At 39.5% G+C, this 17,679-nt stretch overlaps 1 long non-coding RNA gene across 1 annotated transcript in view; it reads right to left on the minus strand.

Annotated features, from left to right (window-relative positions):
* Positions 1–17,679, minus strand: part of LOC102467217 (uncharacterized) — a 30,528-nt gene that overhangs the window by 9,562 nt on the left and 3,287 nt on the right. Inside the window, exons 2-3 of the long non-coding RNA NR_104674.1 lie at positions 12,727–12,858; positions 11,774–11,918 (exon numbers count right to left, since the gene is read on the minus strand). This is a non-coding gene — a long non-coding RNA (uncharacterized LOC102467217). The remainder of the gene's footprint in view (positions 1–11,773; positions 11,919–12,726; positions 12,859–17,679) is intronic.

Consider the following 17,679-nt stretch of genomic DNA (forward strand, 5'->3'; position numbering starts at 1 on the left):
CACCGCCCCCCACTGCCCCTTCTCCGTGTCTCTACCTTTCTCTTTAAACTCACCTCCTTCACTATGGGCAACCTTCCGCCCTCCATTCCCCCATCTTCTCCCTTAGCCTGTGTTCTTAAAAACCTAAAACCCCTTCGACTCACACCTGACCTAAAACCTAAACACTTTATTTTCTTCTGCAATACTGCTTGGCCCCAGTACAAACTCGACAGTAGTTCCAAGTAGCCAGAAAACGGCACTTTTGATTTCTCCATTTTACAAGACCTGGATGATTTTTGTCGAAAAATGGACAAATGGTCTGAGGTGCCTGACGTCCAGGCATTCTTTTACACATCAGTCCCTCCCTAGTCTCTGTTCCCAATGTGACTCATCCCAAATCTTTCTTCTTTCTCTCCTGTCTGTTCCTTCAGTCTCCACCCCAAGTTCTGAGTCCTTTGAATCCTTCTTTTCTATGGACTCATCTCACCTCTCCCCTTCTCGCCAGGCTGCTCCTCACCAGGCCGAGCCAGGTCCCAATTCTTCCTCAGCCTCTGCTCCCCCACTGTATAATCCTCCTATCATCTCCCCTCCTCACACCCGGTCTGGCTTACAGTTTCGTTCCACGACTAGCCCTCCCTCACCTGCCCAACAGTTTCCTCTTGAAGAGGTGGCTAGAGCTAAAGGCATAGTCAAGGTTAATGCTCCTTTTTTCTTTATCCGACCTCTCCCAAATGAGTTAGCATTTAGGCTCTTTTTCGTCAAATATAAAAACCCAGCCCAGTTCATGGCCTGTTTGGCAACAACCCTTAGACACTTTACTGTCCTAGACCCCAGAGGAAGGCTGTCTTATTCTCAATATGCATTTTATTACCCAATCTGCTCCCGACATTAGAAAAAGCTCCAAAAATTAGATTCCAGCCCTCAAACCCCACAAGAAGACCTAATTAACCTCCCCTTCAAGGTGGTATACAATAATAGAATAGAGGCAGCCAAGTGGCAACGTATTTCTGAGTTGCAATTACTTGCCTCCACTTTGAGAGAAACCCCAGCCACATCTCCAGCATACAAGAACTTCAAAACGTCTGAACCACAGTAGCCAGGTGTTCCTCCAGGACTGCCTCCCCCAGGAGATTGTTTCAAGTGCTGGAAATCTGGCCACTGGGCCAAGGAATGCTCGCAGCCTGGGATTCCTCCTAAGCCATGTGCCAACTGTGCAGGACCCCACTGGAAATTGGACTGTCCAACTCGCCCGGCAGCCACTCCCAGAGCCCCTGGAATTCTGGCCTAAGGCTCTCTGACTGACTCCTTCCCAGATCTTCTTGGCTTAGCAGCTGAAGACTGATGCCGCCCGATCTCCTTGGAGGCCCCCCGGACAATCACTGATGCCGAGCTTTGCGCAACTCTTACAGTGGAGGGTAAGGCCGTCCTCTTCTTAATTAATATGGAGGCTACCAACTCCACATTACCTTCTTTTCAAGGGCCTGTTTCCCTTGCCTCCATAACTGTTGTGGGTATTGACGGCCAGGCTTCTAAACCTCTTAAAACTCCCCAACTCTGGTGCCAACTTGAACAACATTCCTTAATGCAGTCCTTTTGAGTTATCCCCACTTGCCCAGCTCCCTTATTAGGTCGAGACATTTTAACTAAATTATCTGCTTCCCTGACTATTCCTGGGCTACAGCCGTACCTCATTGCCGCCCTTTTCCCCAGTTCGAAGTCTCCTTCACATCCTCACCTTGTATCTCCCCACCTTAATCCACAAGTATGGGATACCTCTACTCCCTCTTTGGCAACCGATCATGTGCCCCTTACCATCCCATTAAAACCTAATCACCCTTACCCAGCTCAACGCCAATATCCCATCCCACAACAGGCTTTAAGAGGATTAAAGCCTGATATCACTTGCCTGCTACAGTATGGCCTTTTAAAGCCTATAAATTCTCCTTACAATTCTCACATTTTACCTGTCCAAAAACCGGACGAGTCTTACAGGTTAGTTCAGGATCTGAACCTTATCAACCAAATTGTCTTGCCTATCCACCCCGTGGTGCCAAACCCATATACTCTCCTATCCTCCACACCTCCCTCCACAACCCATTATTCTGTTCTAGATAAACCTAGCTGACCCCATAAATCCTAAATCCTTCCCCTACTCCCCTTTCCATTCCTTAAAAAACAGCCCTAAAAGCTGCTCTCACACTAGCTCTCCCTAACTCATCCCAACCCTTTTCATTACACACAGCCGAAGTACAGGGCTGTGTGGTCAGAATTCTTACACAAGAACCGGGACCGCGCTCTGTAGCCTTTCTGTCCAAACAACTTGACCTTACTGTTTTAGCCTAGCCATGTCTGCGTGTGGCGGCTGCCACTGCTTTAATACTTTTAGAGGCCCTCAAAATCACAAGCTATGCTCCACTTACTCTCTACAGTTCTCATAACTTTCAAAATCTATTTTCCTCCTCACACTTGATGCATATACTTTCTGCCCCTCAGCTCCTTCAGCTATACTCCCTCTTTGTTGAGTCTCCCACAATTACCATTGCTCCTGGCCCAGACTTCAATCTGGCCTCCCACATTATTCCGGATACCACACCTGATCCCCATGACTGTATCTCTCATCCATGTGACAGTCACTCCATTTCCCCATATTTCCTTCTTTCCTATTTCTCATCCTGATCACACTTGGTTTATTGATGGCAGTTCCACCAGGGCTAATTGCCACTCACCAGCAAAGGCAGGCTATACTATAGTATTTTCCATGTTTATCATTGAGGCTACCACTCTGCCCCCCTCCACTACTTCTCAGCAAACCGAACTCATTAATCTCTCCCACTCTAGGTTCCCATGCTGCCCCTAATCCCTTTCAAAGCAGCCCTGAGAACATCACCCATTATCTCTCCATACCACCCCCAAAAATTTTCGCCACCCCAACACTTCACCACTATTTTGTTTTGTTTTTCTTATTAATATAAGAAGACAGGGATCTCAGGCCTCTGAGCCCAAGCAAAGCCATCATATCCCCTGTGACCTGCAGGTATACATCCAGATGGCCTGAAGCAACTGAAGATCCACAAAAGAAGTGAAAATAGCCTTAATTGATGACATTCCACCCTTGTGATTTGTTCCTGCCCCACCCTAACTGATATGACATAGTCTCTGCCGCCCTTAAAAAGGTACTCTGTAATATTCTCCCCTGCCCTTAAGAAGGTACTTTGTAATATTCTCCCCTGCCCTTAAGAAGGTATTTTGTAATATTCTCCATGCCCTTAAGAATGTACTTTGTACGCCTATCCTAAACCTATAAGAACTAATGATAATCGGGCAGGCACGGTGGCTCACGTCTGTAATCCCAGCATTTGGAAGGCCGAGGTGGGTGGATCATGAGGTCAGGAGATCAAGACCACGGTGAAACCCTGTCTCTACTAAAAATACAAAAGAAAAAAAATTAGCCAGGCATGGTGGCGGGCGCCTATAGTCCCAGCTACTCAGGAGGCTGAGGCAGGAAAATGGCATGAACCCGGGAGGCAGAGCTTGTAGTGAACCAAGACTGAGCCACTGCACTCTAGCCTGGGCAACACAGCAAGACTCTGTCTCAAAAAAAAAAAAAAAAAGAACTAATGATAATCCCACCACCCTTTGCTGACTCCTTTTTGGACTCAGCCCACCTGCACCCAGGTGAAATAAACAGCCTTGTTGCTCACAGAAAGCCTGTTTGGTGGTCTCTTCACAAGGATGCGCGTGACACAAATCATACATCTGACAATGAGATGTATTGTCAGAGATGTCAATAATAAATCAAATAAGCAACTGTTAAGTAAAATACGTTCCATCCTCTTATTTGACAGAAATAAAAAAAGAAAGAAAAAAAGAAAAACATAAAGAAAAAAGACATAAAGAAAAAAAGAAAAATTTGTGTTTTGTGTGGTTTTATGTGACTGTTAAATATTAAACAAAATTTAATAACGATGCATAAAAGACATAATTCAGAAAGCATATTTATTTCATAAAATTTATTTTTTCTTGCTGTCATTTCAGCAAAATCATTATTATTGCTGTTAAATTATGTACATAATTTATCTTCTGTTGAAAGTAATGATTCTGAAGGATAAAATTTAGTTGTATTACAGTGTATGAAATGTGAATATATTTTAATGAGGAATGTAAAGTAAAATAAATGTAAAAATCAAAACATTTAATTTAATTGTTGTCATGTTTTAAGAAGTTTCCTTCTGAAATATTTAAAATTATGTATTAGAATTTCAAGCAAAATAGAATGTACAGTGTAGTTAATATCAAAAATGTAGATCAAAAGCACTTAAAGTAAAATTTTTAATTTAGTTTTTTGAAAATGTAATTATCATCAAATATTATTATAAAATCAGAACTATTTGCATTTTAGCATTTACTGTCTATCTAATTGCCAGTATAAACCATCATTAAGAGATGTTACAGTTTAAGCCTAAATACCTGCAACTTTAAGAGACTATGAATTGTTTAATATTGCAAAATATTTCTCAGTTGATCTTTGCTCAGTGCAACTTTGTGAGTTTCCCGTTTCACTGGTACCTCTGGAATTGTGAATTGAAAGATAATGAAAAGGAAGAATATAGATGCTGTTTGACCTTACTGGGAAAGAATACTTCTACATAAAAGAATCTATTTTATTCTTGCTAAGAGGACAGTGTGAAAAGTTAATTAATTTGTCTTTTGTTTTTAAACTGTTACTACTGTTTAAATCTTCCTGCATTCTGAAGCTGTTTGTTTCTCTGATGTCAGCAGCAGTACAAACCACAAACCTTCAAGTTTATGGACACAGTGACTTTTTGTTTTAAGGACATAGGGGAAGAGAGGTGGAGAAGAATTTCCCTATGACCAGAATGATCCTGAAGGGTGACTGATAAGTGAATTGTGTGTGTGTGTTTATGATATGCAGAGCCCTCTACTGTGTGGATCCCAGGGCAGTGGCCCCTCTAGCTCAGGTGTAAGGATGGTCCTGTAAGGGATGACATATGGCAGAGGAGAGGTAATGAACATTTTCACTGTTCATCCTACTTGATTATCAGAGGGTTGAGCACTGTAGACTTTCATCGTCTTGAAACACCTTTTCCTTGTCTTTTGTTATACCACCCTTTCTGACTTTCTTCCCAACTCCTCAGCTACTTTTTCTCAGTCTCCTTTGCAAGACCATCTTCCTCAACCCAATATTAATGCACAACGAGGCTCAGTTTATAGGCCCTCTACACCCACAGCTTTAAATATGGTCTATTTGCCATTGATGACTACTCAGCATCTACATTTGGACATCTTTAAGGAACCACAAATTTTAACATTATTAAGATCCAATTCATATTTTGCTTGATATTTTATGATTGCCCTTCTAGATCCACTCTTCATTCCTTTCCATCCTTATGTGTGTCCTGAGAGGGTATCCTGTGGGTATATTCTACCTCAACAGACTCTCTTGTTGTATAAATTTCCTTTGCATTTGGATTTGGGTTTGAAGATTCCTGGTAGAAAATCTGAGGGAGGGCAAAAAGTAAGGTAGAGGTATTTGTTCCCTTAGCTACCTCCATCCAGGGTTGCCTAGGCCTGGGAGCAGAACCTCTTGCCCAAATATCTTATCTCCTATCATGTGACTTCCTAAACTAGGTTCCCATAATTGCTCCTTCTCTTTGCCTTTTGGAAATTCTACTATTTACAGTCCCAGAGTATTGCACTATTTCTCATGGTTTGTCCTACTCTGATTGCACTTTTATAAATAGTCCCTTCAAATTACCCAATTTGACTGCACCATCTTTTTCCCACTGGGAACTTAATTGGCACAGTAATTGATACTGTGACTGGTCCCAGAAAACAAAGTAAAATCCTTAAAATCCTGGACTGGATTGTGCAATATTTGAAGAGTACAGGGGGAATGGGGTATGGACAATCCTTGACATATAGTAGTATCACAGTTACTCAAACTGTCACTGGTGATGACACAGGAGGTCAAGGTTTTGGGAAATCAAGTAGCGGTAAAACTTGATTGCTACGAGTTCTACAGATCTTAGGAACTATAGTGTCATCTGGGTTGTTCTAAAGGCCCTAGGGAGAATAAGTAGGGACAAAGAGAAATGAAATTGCCAGATGAGAATTTATGTGGAAAATCAGAGAGCCCTGAATGCAACTTTAAAAGCACATCTTATTTCCAATAACTGCAGGAGGAGGTAGTTGAGAACTAAGCTTAGGATCTGATTATAAGGGTTGCAGCATTAATTAAATGCTCAAGTTCATGAGGCTTATTATATTAAAATATAGACACTTAGGGGGAATGAATGCAACCCTGTCCCCTGAGTCATGGAATGATTCATACTACTGCAAAGAAAGTATGACAATGCGTTCACACCACTGGAATTCACTAGTCTTGCCCATCTCCAAAAAGGAGCTGGATCACCAGAAGAGCAGAATAGCCTGCTGACCTCACAATTTTGGCACCAGCTAAAAGAAAGCACCTTCAAGGTTAGGGGGCTATCCTGCAAGATACGGCAAATGCCTTAAATGAGCAACATCTCTCTATATCTTTCTCTACAGGTAGAATGAATGGGTCTGGAGACCAAGCAAACATGTGACATTTGCAAAAATGTATAGTGTACAAGGCTACAAAACAAGGCTTAATAAATTCCTAAGAATGGATGCTATACAGCTTGTTCTCCGAAAAGAGTGCAGCAAAATTAGAAACCAACGTTAAAAGGAGATTAGAAACCCTCATATGTTTTGAAATTTTAAAAAACACTACAAAAACATTCATGGGTACAATATGGCAAGAGAAAAAATAAAAGGTATAGCGTTTGGAATGGAAGTAATAAAATCGTCATTATTTGCAGATGACATGAATTGGAAAAGAAAATGAATCTTGATACTTTTGTCATGCAATATAAAAAATCAGTATAAAATGGATCACAAACAAATGTAAAGGTAAAAGAGTGAAGCTTTTAAAAAATACATAAGAGAATCTTCATGGCCTTGAGGAGGGTAAACCTTTCTTAAACAGGACACTAAAAGCACTGCCAATGAGAGAAAAAAAAAGATTTCATTGAAGTACAAACTTTTGTTAATAAAAAGAGATTATTTAGAGAGTGAAAAGACAAACTACCAACTGAGAGAAGAAATTCACAATACATATATCTGTTAAAAGACATATGCAGAATATGCAAAGAACTCTTACAACTCAATTATAAAAAGACAATAATGCAATTTAGAAATCAGAAAAAGGTTTGAATTAACATTTCATAAAAGAAGATATGCAAATGACCAATTAGCATATAAAAAGGAGTTCAGAATTATAGTCAGCAGGTAAATGAAACATGAATGACATTAAGGTACTACGCTTCACACCAAAATAAGTAAAATTTAGAAAAAAACTGACAATACCAAATATGATGGAACGTGGAATGACCAACTCTCACACATATACTGGTGGGAGTGTAAGTTGGTAAAAACCACTATGAAAAACAATTTGGAAATATCTAATAAAGCTAAATATATGTCTATTCTATAATTCAAAAATTCTACTGCTAGCTATATTCCCAACAGAAATGAGTAAAAATGTCCAGCAAAAGACATTTATAAGAACTTTCATACTAGTTTTACTCATAATAGCCCCACACTGGAAGCAATACAAATATGACTTGAGAGTAGAATGGACAAATAAGTATATTCATTGTCAGTAATGGAGAGGGGGAAAAAACCTGTTGCTTTAATATGAATAAATCTCACAGACATAATGATGAGTGAAAGAAATCAGTCACAAAATGGGACACATGGTTCCTTCTAGATGATATTAAGAAGAGGTAAGACTAATCCATGGTATTAGTCAATAGCGGTTATCTCTTGGGGGGTATTTTGGGGAAAGAGGTATAGAAAAGTTCTTTGGGTTGCTGGAAATGTTTTATATCTTGATCTGGGCAGTAGCTACACAAGTGTAGACATATGTAAAATTCACTGAGTTATTCACTTAATTATGCACTTTATATATAATAAGCCTTCATAACAATGTTTCTTAAGTCACAATAAAATTTTAATGAGAATTATAAAATATTTAGAACTGGATGACATAGAAAGCACTGCATGTCAAAACTTGTGGGATACAGCTAATGCAGTACTTAGAAGGCAATTTATAGCCTTAATTGCATATATTACAAAACAAGAAAGATGAAAAATTAATGAGCTATTCAACTAAAAAATTGCTAGAAGAAGGACCATAGAGAAACTCCAAACAAAATAGAAGAAAGAATATATGTTGAAAGTAGAAATTAATACAATATAAAACAAAAATAGTAGTACAGAAGATGACAAACACAGAAAGAGAGAACGATAAATAGAAACTATGAACAAATGAAGAGCAGAAATGAGTTAGTAGCTACAAAAACAGAAGAAACAGAAGCACCATAATGGTTGGATACTACAGGAGGAAGCATGCCAGACTCTAAGACTCCAAGATGTGGCAAATTTTTAGAGTGGCTATTTTGCTCCAGAGTTGCAGTCAGACTGCTGGAGCTACAGTTGTGTAGGAATTATGCTGCATTTCTCCATGAAAATGGTTGAGACTATTTCTCATCTACTTTATTTCCACACAAATGATTGCAATAAAATCTTGACCCTAGATATAACTTGAACTTTAACTCTTGCAACCTGTTACATTTACCCAATTGACATCCTTTCTCTCTTCTTTTGCTAACCGCATACAATTCAGCATTCTGGGATGCACCCCCCACATTTTATGATTACATATGAGTCTTGTTTCCTGAGATGCAGGCCCGACCCCCTTCCCAGCCAAGCCAATCAATGTCATTCCTATGGATGGCTTTTCCTAAAACCACTGGGAAGAAGGCAATCTTTTTTTCCTTAAGGTTACTAGCTGGGTCGAATTAGACCCAGAGTTACTGAAGACTATCTTTCCAAAACAACGAAAATAATGCCTTGCCTGAGAATGAAGTTGACATAGAGGAAAGCAGAGCAGAGATGGGGAATGAGGCAGCAAGGTGTAAGAGAGACTGATTGCTAACAATATTGTTAAGGCCCTGGATCCAGCCATGGCTGGACCCATAATCAATTGCTTTTTTGCTTAAACTAGTTTGTTTTAGATGTCTGCACTTGCAACCCAAATTGCCCTAATAGCAATAATTGACCAGTATTAAAAAAAAAAATCTGTCTCAACATTTTTTTTTAAATCTCACCTGCTCACAGGATCTTCATATAGGTTTCCCTTAGTGTTACACTTACATTTTCTGTTCAAATTAGTGCCTGTAAGATGGTTCTATATTATGCATCAACATATTCAAAGTCTTTGCTAAATTGCAGATTCAAAGTTTTTGCTAGATTACAAGTTTTAGAAGATTCACTCAATGGGTTTAAGTTTAAATTTGAGAGAAGAATAAAATAATCTAGCAAAGCCCATGTTCATTCAGTACAGGTAATACAAATAGAGCTTTTCTGAGGAATCATTGTCTTCTGTGGAGCCTCTGTGTGCAGGCTGCTAAAACGAGATTTACAATTACTGGCACAATCAAAACGCTCAGAATGATTGGGGCTCTTAGAAACTGTTGAACTCTCACGGTTTTCCAAATACTTGGCATTCAACTCATCTGAATATCACCCTCAATTTCCCCCACAGAATCTAAGAGTAAAGAAAATAAAATCTCATTGCCAACAGAGCCAGCAGAATGAGTGCTGAGCTAATCTCCATTTCACCCTGTGACCTACCCCCAGACTGAGCGAGCCCTCAGCCAACACTCATAAATGTGCTCTCCTCCAGAGAAAAAGCTCAGCATTCCTACACTAGAGATTCTGAACAGATTTTCTGGTGCTTTCAAATAATACAACATGGCTCTAAGAAAGCTTAGAGTTTTTATTGTTACAGTTTTCAATTCCAATTTTAATAGAGTAAATTTTGACAGCAAATCTTTCTTCTTAGTTAATGCTTACCAGTGGTTAATTGGACATAATTTTAGAGACTGTAGATGACTGGATTACTCTTCCCTCAAAAGCAGAATCTTAACTAATGAAATGTACAGCTTCCTGAAGGAGGCTATTCAAAGAAAAACCCTGCAGTCTCCAGGCAAACAAGTCCTCTCACAATGGCTTTGATGGATTTTGTGTATAGAATTTTCCTCTCTGACTGGACTAAGCAAGTCGCATTCTTTCTTAAGAGATGCTGAAAACTAACTACTTTTCAGTAACAACCAATAGAAGTATTTCTTTCAGCTTGCTGCCTTGTTCATTTTATTTCTAAAAACTGATAGCACAGTATCGATATAAGGCTCTATACTGAATCCCTTTTACAAATATTAAATTATTGGAGTAAAGTCAGATAAGACTACATATAAAGTTCTACCAAGAGGTGAAAAAACAAGAAGCATATTTGCCTCCTATCAGGAGTATCTGTGACTTAATACTTGTAAGTAAACTTCTGCAAAAAAAAAAAACCAAAAAAACATTTTTTTTTCTTTTGACCAAGGCTCATCATTGTATCTCTGGCATCTTATGTCTTTCTTGAGTAAGTGGATTAATGAATGGATAAATTTTGGTTCATCATGGGGTTGGCTTTTAAAAAATTATACTCTGGCATTTAAGATAAATTTATTATTTATTTGTACCATTCTAATAACTTTGGTGTCAAATAGTTTGCAGTTTAATCTTTGCTGTTTGAGGTTAAGTAGAAACCTTTGTTTTATTAGAGCCTCAAGGTGTCTCTTTTAAAGGAATTGTTCCCTTCTTAGATTTTTGTCCAAGAATCCTAAAGAGTGGTAGAAAAGGAAAATACAATATTCATCATCTTCCTTGGAACTGGCCGGTAACGGTGTAGCCTGAGAAAAATGTCCTGTTCATTAATCGGTGGTAGTCTTGGGGATGCGTAAACAGATCTTTGCACGATGCTGATCTGCAAAATCGAATTGGTCACAGGGAGTCCAGAGATTTACATTGTTCTACACATCATGTCCAAGTATACTTTCCTCTATAATTTATCCCATTAGTACCACAACGGATTTTAAAAAAAGTTTTTTTCTTTTTATAGAGAAAGGGTCTCACTATGTTGCCAAGGTTTGTCTTGAACTCCTGAGCTCAAATGATCTTCCTGCCTTGGCTTCCGAAAGTGCTGGGATTCCAGGCACAAGCCACTGTGCCTGGCCCTGGACCATGGATTTTTAACCTAGAGAGAAAACTGTCTTCCAGAACTTTTAAGTGATTTGTTCAATTAATAATCTGTCTCTTTTCATAGTAATGATTGCCTTTTAGAGTGAGAATTCAGCCTGTAACATCTAGTGTGGGGGGGGCAGTGTAGGGGGCATTTGTTTATATTGTGTAAGAGCAGCATTCCTTGCTTTAACTGTTTCAGAAACACCCAAAATCCATCTCTATAAGATTTTCTAGTCTCTCAACTTTTGCTAGCAGGTACCCAACCCACTGTCTTTGCAGCCTTCATTTAAAAAACAAAATCTGGGCCAGGTGAGGTGGCTCAGGCCTATAATCCCAGCACTTTGGGAGGCCAAGGTGGGCAGATCACAAGGTCAGGAGTTCGAAACCAGGCTGACCAACATGGTGAAACCTTGTCTCTACTAAAAATACAAAAATTAGCTGGGCGTGGTGGCAGGCACCTGTAGTCCCAGCTACTCAGGAGGCTGAAGCAGAAGAATCGCTTGAACCCGGGAGGCGGAGGTTGCAGTGAGCCAAGATTGCACCACTGCACTCCAGCCAGGGTGACAGAGCAAGACTCCATCTCAAAAAAAAATAAAAAATAAAAAAAATCTGGACCCACCTTTTGATCAGGCTTTAGCATTATGTCTTGATCTTTTTGAAGCATCAGAGTAGCACACTGTGGTAGTGATCATTTTTCCTCTGCTACTATGTCAGGAGCTCCACATTTTCTCTCATCTATTCTCACTCAAGGACAAACTTGATTCCTATACCAAAAAAAAAAAAAAAAAATGCATGAGTTTTCGTATTTATTCCATGTAAATGATGACTTCATTTTTTGAAATAAAGTTACTTTGATGAACTATTAAACTGTTTTCTCCTTCTCTTCCACAACTTCATCACTGCCTTATTCCAACCTCCTGTTCACTCTCTCATGAGGTCTTCCACCTCACCCCTCGATGGCCACCATCCTGAAATACCCACCTACTTGGGGATCACCAATCAAAGAGCCTAGCTTCAGAGTTCGTTGACCTCCTCAGTGCCAGTGATTTCCATCTACAATTCCACAAAAGTAGTTCACATGGGTCATACTCTGGATCATGTCATTTAAAGCTTTTTTTCCAACTGATATCTTTACCATTAATAGCATACCTTCTGTCAGCAACCTCTTATTCTTCTATCTCAGCCTTTCACTCACAATATATCTAATCTTACCCAGGTTCATTTATTTGAACCCCTCAATTTTTTTTCCAGTTTACCAACTTAGATGATGCTTTTGTTCTATCACTGTATTTGCTTACTTGTCTTCACGCTCTTCTATTTTACTGGACTCAAAACCACAGCCCAGATTCCATCCATCATATTTCTCATCTGCTCATACCCATGTTGAGTATAAATGGTGGAAATGACTGTACAATATAAGAGATTAGAAATGCTGGTGAGAGGGGCAGAGCAAGATGGCTGAATAGAAGGCCTCACTGATCCCCACCCTCACCCCCACAAGTACACAAATTTAACAACTATCTACACCAAAAAAACACCTTCATAAGAATCAAAAATCAGCTGTGCACTCACAGTATCTGGTTTTAGCTTTATATTGCTGAAAGAGGCATTGAAGAGGGTAGGAAAGACTGTCTTGAATTGCCAATTTTACTCCTCCGACATCTGTTGGCAGTGGCCATGTGACATGGAGAGAGGATCTGTGGGCTTGGGAGAGGGAGAGAGTAGCAATTGTGAGGCATTGCATTGAACTCAGTGCTGCCCTGTCACAGCAGAAAGCAAAACTGGGCTAACTCAGCTTATGCCCATCCATGGAGGCAGTATTTAAACCAGCCTAGCTAGAGGAGAATCACCCATCCCAGAGATCAGAACTTGAGTTCTAGCAAGCTTCACCACCATGAGCTAAAGTGCTCTTGGGCTCTAAACAAACTTGAAAGGAAGTCTAGGCCACAAATACCGCAACCCCTACATGAGTCCCAGTGCTGAACTGGGCTCAGAGACAGTGGGCTTGGGGGGTATCCGACTTACTGAGACACCAGCCAGGGTGGCTAAGAACATGCTTGCACCAACCCTCTTTTAACCCCAGGTTGCACAGCTTGCAGCTCCAGAACACATCCCATCCTTCTGCTTGAGTAGAGGAGAGAGAATAGTACAGAGGACTTTGTTTTGCATCTTGGATACTAGCTCAGCCACAGTAGGATAGGGTACCAGTCAGAGTCGTGAGGTCCCCTTTCCAGGCCCTAGTTCCTGGACAACATTTCTAGACACACTCTGGGCTAGAAGGGAACCTGCTGCCTTGAAGGGAAGGATTTGTCTTGTCAGGACTCATCACTTGCTAACTAAAGAGCCCTTGGGCCCTGAAAAAACAGCAGCTATAACCAGGTAGTATATTGTAGGCCTTGGGTGAGACTCTGAGACTTTCTGGTTTCAGGTGAGACTCAATACATTCCCAGCTATGGTGGCTACAGGGAGAGACTCCTTGTGCTTGAGAAAAGTGGAGGAAAAAGTAAAGGAGAGTTTGTCTTTCACCTTAGGTACCAATTCGGCACAGTGAGGTAGAGCACCAAGTGGGATCTTAGGGTCCTCAGTTCCAGGCTTTGGCACTTGGACAGCATTTCCGAACCTTCCCTGGGCCAGAGAAGAGCCCACTACCCTGAAGGTTGAGTCTTAGGCTAGGCAACATTCACCACAAACTGACTGAAGAGCCCTTGGAACTTAAGGGAACATCGATGGTAACCTGGTAGTACTCCCTGATGGCTTGTGGTGGTGGTGGTCATGGGGTGAGGCATCTCTACCTGTGGAAAGGGAAGGGAAGAGTGGGAAGGACTGCATATCTTGGTTTGAGTACCAGCTCAGCTGCAGTACAATAGAATACCAAAGAGACTTCTAAGGTTTTTGACTCTAGTCCCTAGCTCCCAGACAGCACCTCTGGACCATGTGGAGCATGAGGTAACTTGCCCCACTGAAGGGAAGGACATAAGCCAGGCTGGCTTCACCCCCTGCTAATTGTAGAGACACAGGGCCTTGAGCAAACATATGTGGTAGCAAGGTAGTGGTTACAGTGGGCCCTGGGAGATATCCAGTGCTGTCCTTGTTTCAATCTGACCCAGTACAGACTCAGGGATGGTGTCCACAGGGGCTCTCCAACCCCAGCTCCAGGAGGTTCAAAACAGAGAGTGAGAGAGACTTCATTTGTTTGGGAGAAAGTAAGAGAAGAGGACAAGAGTCTCTGTCCCATAATCCAGATAATTTTTCTGGATCTTATCCCAGACTACGAAGGTGGTACCTTTGAGTCTGCAAGAACCACATTATTACTGGGATTGGGGTGCCCCCTAAAGCAGGCTTAGCTCACAACACTCAAGACTATTTGAATACTTGGAAAAGCCTTCCCAAGAAGGACAAGTACAAACAAGTCCAGACTGCAAAGACCACAGTAAATATCTAATTCTTCAATGCCTAGACACCGAAGGACATCCATAAGCATCAGACCATACAGGAAAACATGACCTCACCAAATTAACTAAATAAGGCACCAGAGACCAGGCCTAGAGAAAGAGAAATATGTGACCTTTCTGACAGGGAATTCAAAATAGCTGTTTTGGGGAAACACAAAGAATAAAGAAACAAGCAGAAATTCTGGAGATGAAAAACACAATTGGCATACTGAAGAACGCATCAGTCTTCCAACAGCCAAATTAATCAAGCAGAATAAAGAATTGGTGAACTTGAAGACAGGCTATTTGAAAATACACAGTCAGAGGAGACAAAACAAAAAAAGAATAAAAACAATGAAGCATGCCTACAGGACCTAGAAAATAGTCTCAAGAGAGCAAATCTAAGTTATTGGTCTTAAAAAGGAGGTGGGATAGAAAGTTTATTCAAAGGGATAACAATGGAGAACTTCCCAAACCTAGAGAAAGATATCAATATCCAAGTACAAAAAGGTTATAGAATGCCAAGCACATTTAACCCAAAGAAGACTCCCTCAAGGCATTTAATAACCAAACTCCCAAAGATCAAGAGTAAAAAAGGACCCTAAAAGCATCAAGAGAAAAGAAACAAATAACATACAATGGAGCTCCAATACATCTGGCAGCAGACTTTTCAGTAGAAACCTTACAGGCCCAGAGAGAGTAGTACGACATACTTGAAATGCTGAAGGCAAATAACTTTTACCCTACAATAGTATATTGGGTGAAAATATCCTTCAAATATGAAGGAGAAATAAAGACTTTCCCAGACAAACAAAGCTGAGGATTTCTTCAATATCAGATCTGTCCTACAAGAAATGCCAAAGAGAATATTTCAGTCTGAAAGAAAAAGACGTTAATGAACAATAAAAAATCATCTGAAGGCACAAAACTCACTGGTAATAGTAAGTACACAAAAAAATCACAGAGTATTATAACACTGTAACTGTGGTGTGTAAACTACAATGATCTTAAGTAGAAAGAGAACCAATCTTTTTGATGAACCAATCAAAAATAATAACTACAGTAACTTTTCAAGGATACACAGTACAATAAGATATAAATAGAGACAATAAAGTTAAAATGGATGAAGTTAAGGTATATAGTATTTATTAGTTTTCCTTTTGCTTGCTTATTTGTTTGTTTATGCAAACAGGATTACATTTTTATCATTTTAAAATAATGGCTTATAAGGTACTCTTTGCAGGCCTCATGGTAACTTCAAATTAAAAAACATACAACAGATAAACCAAAAAATAACAAGCAAGAAATTAAATCATACCACCAGAAAAAAATTAGCTTCACTAAAAGCAAGACAGGAAGGAAAGAAAGAAAAGATCACTCACTCACACACACACACACACACACACACACACACACAAGCAGAAAACAAATAACAAAATGGCAGGAGTAAGTCCTTACTTGTCACTAATAACATTGAATATAAATGGACTAAACTCTCCAATCAAAAGACATAGACTGGCTGAAGTGATTAAAAAAAAAAAAATGACCCAGTGATATGTTGCCTACAAGAAACACATTTTTCCAGGCTGGGTGCAGTGGCTCACACCTGTAATCCCAGCACTTTGGGAGGCTGAGGTGGGCAGATCACAAGGTCAGGAGTTCGAGACCAGCCTGGCCAACATAGTGAAACCCCATTTCTACTAAAATTACAAAAATTAGCCAGGTGTGGTGACACATAACTATAGCCCCAGCTACTCGAGAGGCTGAGGCAGGAGAATCACTTGAACCCGGGAGGCAGAGGTTGCAGTGAGCTGAGATTATGCCACTGCACTCCAGCCTGGACGACACAGTGAGAGTCTGTCTCAAAAAAAAAAAAAAAAAAAGAAAGAAACACATTTCACCTATAAAGGCACACATAAACAGAAAATAAAGAGATGGAAAAGATATTCTATACCAATGAAACCAAAGCAGAGCAAGAGTATCTGTATTTATATCAGACAAAATAGATGTGAAGACAAAAACTATAGGAATAGACAAAGAAGTTCTCTATATAATGATAAAGGAACTAATTCACCAAAAGGATATGACCATTATAAATATATATGCACCAAACACTGGAGCACCCAGATATATAAAGCAAATATTATTAGAGTTAAAAAAGAGATAGACCCAAATACAATAACAGCTGGAGATTTTAACACCCCACTTGCATAATTGGATAGACCTTCCAGACCAAAAATCAACAAAGAAGCATCAAACATAATCTGCACTATAAACCAAAAGGACCTAATAAATATTTACAGAACATTTTACCCAACAGCTCCAGAATAAATTTTTTTCTCAGTACATGAACCATTCTCAAGGATAGACTATATGTTAGATCACAAAACATTTAAAAGATTTGAAATAATATCACACATCTTCTCTGACCACAATGGAATAAAACTAGAAATCAATAGCAAGAGGAATTTTGGAAATTATACAAACACATGGAAATCAAACAATATGTTCCTGAATGACCAGTTGGTCAATAAAGAAATTGAGAAAGAATTTGAAAAATTTCTTGAAACAAATAATAATGGAAACACACATACCAAAACCTGAGGGATACAGTGAAAGCAGTACTAAAAAGAACTTTATAGCTATAAGTGCCTTCATCAAAAAGCAAAAAATTCAAATAAACAACCTAATAATGCATCTTAAAGAACTAGAAAGTGAGAGCAAACCAAACCCAAAATTAGTAGAAGAAGGAAGTAATAAAGATCAGAGCAGAAATAAATGAATTTGAAATGAAGAAAACAATACAAAAGGACAATGAAAGAAAAAGCTGGTCTTTTAAAGATTAGCAAAATTGGCAAACCTTTAGCCAGACTAAGAAAAAAGGGAGAAGATCCAAATAAATAAAATCAGAGATGAAAAAGGAAGTATTACAACTCACACCACATAAATTCAGTAAAGTTGCAGGATAGAGAATGAAAATACAAAAATCAGTTGCATTTCTATATGCCAACAGTGAACAATCTGAAAAGAAATCAAGAAAGTAATTCCATTTACAATAGCGACAAATAAAATAGAATACCTAGGAATTAACTTA

The sequence above is a fragment of the Homo sapiens genome, chromosome 5 (genome assembly GCF_000001405.40).
Source record: "Homo sapiens chromosome 5, GRCh38.p14 Primary Assembly".
NCBI classification, from domain to species: Eukaryota; Metazoa; Chordata; class Mammalia; order Primates; family Hominidae; genus Homo; species Homo sapiens.